General features: G+C 40.4%; 1 annotated feature.

Moving 5' to 3' along the window:
- Positions 4,268-4,789: an enhancer, noted in NCBI's record as "OCT4-NANOG hESC enhancer chr13:39704423-39704944 (GRCh37/hg19 assembly coordinates)". NCBI's record gives its function as "activates a minimal SCP1, AML or CMV promoter by ChIP-STARR-seq in naive H9 embryonic stem cells {active_cell/tissue: H9 hESC(naive)}" and the evidence as "EXISTENCE:reporter gene assay evidence [ECO:0000049][PMID:30033119]".

Genomic DNA, 5,106 nt, shown 5'->3' on the forward strand with positions numbered 1-5,106 from the left:
TGGATAAGGCCTCCTTGCTGCAGAAAATGGCAGTGATGGAGAATAACTGCTTTGAGTTCTCAATGAACTGCAAGTTCATTGAGATTTTCTCACTTTTGTCTTGGCCAGGGTTGGCCTAAACCATGAATATCTTACCTTCCTATGTGCTTTGGGTAGTATCAGGAAGTCTTATCTGCTTGCGCATATTCACCCAACCAAGTGCCTGGAAGTCTACCACCTGAGATTAGTTTATCTCAGATTAAGTATGAAGCATGCAGTACAGTGTTTAGTAACTAGCAGGCACTCAATGCTTCACTGCAATTGTTATAAACATCATCTCTGGTGGTAGATCCTAACTGAGAATATTTGGAGGAGCTTGGGAGGACTTTTTGGTTATTACAATGCAGAAGGATGTGATGGGGCAAACAGGGAGAAGAGAGGTAGGCAGGGTTACTAAATATCGTGCAGAAGGAGGGATTGTCTTATATAAGGATGAATTTTTCTGCTCCAAGCTGCAAACTTTTCTTTTATAATGTATATTACATCAAGAGAAAAATCTGATTTATCACTATCATCTTAGTGTACATTTATCTGATTTGTCTTCTTGACAAACTAAGAAACCTATATGCCATGCAAAGCCTGTGTGTCTGTGTGGGTAGGGAAAATGTCAAAACTCAGCCTGGCCTAATTTATGAACACAAACATATTAGGGGTAGGTGGGGAGCAGGTGAAAATGGAATTAAGTCAGCGCGTCTTTTGCAAAATCAGATTTTCTGTTTTTTTCTGAAACCCCAGTCCCTCACACGTGTTTGTGTGTAGATACAACTTCAGGATACTGAAAAATAAACAGAAACATAGAAGCTGGGTGATCTTTAAAAGAAGGCAGTGTAACCTTGGGATACTTTCAGTCGAATCTGACTTCTACATGTGAAGGAAAAAGGTGGCAGGTGGGCCACTAGATGAAATGGGTATTTCAGGATATATAGAAGCCAGATGGAAATTTATCCTGCTCTGTCGCTGAACTCATTATAGCAGCTACAATGGCGTTCATTGAGCCCATCCCCAACAATAGCATTGATTTGCTCTGTCTAGTGGGCCCTGATGAAGCCCACATGCTCCACAGACAATGCTTCCCTTCCTATGCGTGGCATTTCCTGAGGAGCACAGAGAATGCTCCCTTTGTTCTTCTCCAGGTTTTTTATTAGCACCTGCCCAGGTCTGTGCCTCTCACTGCACCTGTGAGTTAGTGATCTCAGTGTAAGTCTTGTCCCCTGAGATTGTGATGATAGGAGAGTTCAGGTGAACCACAGCCTTTCCCTGGAGCTCTGACAATAACAGATCTTGAGAATTGACCTGTATTACTCTCCTCTCAAAGGCCCCTTGTGATCGCTTAAACATAAGTATGTGGAAAAAAAAAATCCTAATAAGATATGGTATATCTGGGAAATGACATTAGCAGCCTTCTGTAATGAGCATGCTGTAATCAGCCACAAGCAGAGGAACTGGTGTGTTATCAGGAATTAGAAGATATTTAAAATAGGCTCCTGGGTCAAAGGCACACAAGTTTGTGGGGAAGCAATAAGCGTTTTCAAAACCGGTACAAGTAAAGGTCTTTTTCAGTGTGACATTTTCTGAGCTTAGATCCAGAATGTTCTATCAGTAGAATAATGTTATAACTGCCTAGTAATTTCTGTAAAATAAGTATATACTCCGATTATAATTGCTACAATGTGAGGGCTGAATTCTGCACTGATAACACTCTAAAAATGAACTCTAAATTATAGCCTCACTTAAAAGGTAAATGACACACCAATTCTCATTGTGGAGACTAAAAACAAAACTCCCTCTGCAATCCGGGTCCCTCCCTGGTGATGTGGTTCTTAGGACTCCTGGACACACCTCTTGGAAGCAATATCTACTTTCTCCATCACTTCCTTACTCCTAACCTTGCTCCTACTCACTTCTTCCCTTGCACATATGGGATGCCATCCTGATGAAAGGGAAAAGTGGAGCATTGACTTATCCAGTGACTATTCCAGGTGTGGACTCTGGTTGAGGGAAGAAAACAGGTGGATTATATTTCTAAGGACAAGGTCTTGGAGAGATGAGGTCTCCCAGCGATGAGGTCACTTGAAGGCCCCTCCACCACTGCAACTTAGTCCTGAGCACGGTTTTAGCCCCATGGCTACCAATGCAAAGACTGTTGAAAGGGCAGGATGGTTGTTCCACAGCAGGGAGGTAATGGCATAATAACTAATCCGATAGCTAAATAAGTTGCATTCCTCCCTCCTTTCTGTTTCTTTTAATAAGCATTTAAAGTGCTAAGCACTGTACTAGATTCTAGAGATGCAAGACTGAGAAAGTCACATTCCTAGCTAAGGGGTAATTTCTGCCTGTCAGAAATCACAAGCATGTGAAAAATTACTGTAGTGAGATTTAGGTTAATACACAGCTAGGAGGTCATTTTTATCCATAATCATTGGTATCAGGAAAAGTCCACATGAAGAGAACTTACAAGGTGATCAACATTTGGGGGTAAGTAGGAAGAAAGGTTGGATTAAAACTTTATTCTGAAAAACTACCCACAAAAATGAAAAATAAATCTGTATTTCCTATATTTAACAAAAATTCAGTAAAAATTGCATTTATACACTAATTCAAATAATGGGCAGAGATAAAACAAGGGTTGATCTTGGAGGTGGTTTGAATATTTTCCTTCAAATTGTTTGATGACCCTGCATATTGTCTTTCCACTGCATGTTTGACTTTCTCATCTCATGATGGAAAATGGCTCAGTTTGCAGAAATAGCGGAGGGCTTAATCAATGTTTTCAAAATATTTTCTTAATTTTGTGGTACTGAAGGCATTTTCTTTTGGAAACTCACTGATCTGTTTATACAGAGAATAAACTGCAACATATCTAGAAGTCTAGCCAGTGCATATACAGCCTTTTAATCAATCCATATTTGTTTAGCTCAGTACTTTACTATCTGCTCTGCCTCATCTTAAGTTCTGGGAATCTCAGAGGCCCTATAGGAGCAAATCAGACAATTCTTCTAGTCTCCTACAGCACTTGAGCTTTCTTCTAAGTTCTTTCTACTCCTATTTTGCCTTTCCTTCTTCCAAAAATCTGTTGATATTTCTCACCTGCTATGTCTCTGGTTATTTTGGTTTGTACTTAAATCTTTTTCTCTACATTTATTTAAGTGAAATCTTGTGAAGGAAGGGAGACAATTATATGGGCTGGTTTACCATGTTTAATCAGGAGCCTCTGCAGATTTGGATGTTGACAAGATCACGCTTGTAGCAACGTGGAACAGAAATAGGGAAGGCAAAACAAAGGCAGAGGGAGCGTTTGGGAGGCTCCCCCTGCTCCCGTTCACAGTGAGCTGCTGGAGCACACACGCTGCATTCAATGCCTCTGCATTTCCCATCTGGTCATTTTTCAACTCACTTCAGTCTGGCTTCTGTCACCATCTGTCCTATTGAATCTGCCATGGTCAAATTTACCGGTAACTTCCTGGTTGCTCAGTAGAGTAGACAACTATTAGTCTTTATCTCTGTTGGCTCACTGTCCACCTTTTCTTTGGATTCTCTCCCTTTTGGGTTTTTATGCTTTCTCTCCACTTTAATTTTTGTTGTTGTTGTTGAATCTTTCACACCCCTGCTCCCTGTATCCTTTTCTATCATTAAATGTTGAAGTGATCTAATGTTCTACCATTTGCCAACTTATATTACACTCTCCACTCTCCTTTGATTTATTTTCAGCCCATTTTCCTTTCCTAGGGTAGAGATTGTTTTTGTATCCACACACACACACATGCACACACACACACACACACACACACACACACACCTCTACTAAGACATCATTTTGATTTTCCACAGGCACATCAAACTCAGTACATTCAAAACTAAAAACTAAGCTTATTTCCTCACCTGATTTGCTTTTCCTTCTTTATTCCCCGTTATCGTAAGTGATCTCCCCATCTCCTGTGCTTTCTATTCTCTCATCCCTCACAAATTCATTAAATTTTGTTGCTTTTTCCTCCCTAAATCTCTCAAACGTTTTTCACTCTTCTTTAATCCTAAAGCCAAGGCCTTAGTTCAGGTCCATGTCACATCCCTACCTAATTCATGTGACAGACCTAACTTATTCAACTGCCTTCATTCTACCTCCACTCCAATAATTTCCCTATAGTTCACAATGCCACAAAAGTTTCATGAAACATGTCTAATCACATCACTCTTGTTTTGTCTTGGTTATCCAAGACAACTTGTTACACACAAAAGAATCCCAAAACTTAGTTACTTAACACAATAAGAAACATTTACTAATCTCATTGTTTTCATGCATCAGGACTTTGGGCGTTGCTTAGCTGGGTATTTCTGGCTAAAGGTCTTTTACGAGATTGCAATGAAGCTGTCACGTGGGGCTGCAGTCATCTAACGGCTTGAATGGAGCTGGAAAATCCACCTCCAAGGTGGCTCCCTCCTGTAGCTGGCGACTTGATGCTGGCTATTGAAGGAGGCCTTTGTTCCTCACCACATGGTCCTCTCTTAGCCTGCTTGAGTGTTCTCACAGCATGACACTGGCTTTCTCTGCAGCGAGCACCCAGGAGAGAAAGAGCCATGCCGAAGCCAACCTTTTTATGACTTAGCCTCAGAAGTCACGTAGCATCACTTTGTGCCACATTCTGTTCGTTAGAAGTGAGTCATTAAGTTTGGTTCACATTCAAGGGTTGGGGAATTAGGAACCACCTTTGGAGGACTGTGAAAAAATTCACTGACATATTTTAAGACCATCCCACATTCTAAAAATCTTTCAATGTCTTTTACAATATTCCTACCACTTTCTTTATTTCCTTATCCTTCAGCTCTGCAAAACTGCTCACAGTTGTATAAACTTGCTGTGATTTTTTTCTGTGCCTATGCCTTGTACATACCATCCCCTTTGCTTGGAATATCTTTTTTACTTCTTTACCAAGCTAACTTCTACTCATCCTTCAAAATCCTAACGTAAACGTAAACCCCGGCATAAATATTTTCAAATATTTCCTGATTCTGCACCCCCACTGCTTGTTTTCTACCAATTAGACTTAATAGAGAGCACACCTTTTTTTCCAC

Source organism: Homo sapiens, chromosome 13 (genome assembly GCF_000001405.40).
Source record: "Homo sapiens chromosome 13, GRCh38.p14 Primary Assembly".
NCBI classification, from domain to species: domain Eukaryota; kingdom Metazoa; phylum Chordata; class Mammalia; order Primates; family Hominidae; genus Homo; species Homo sapiens.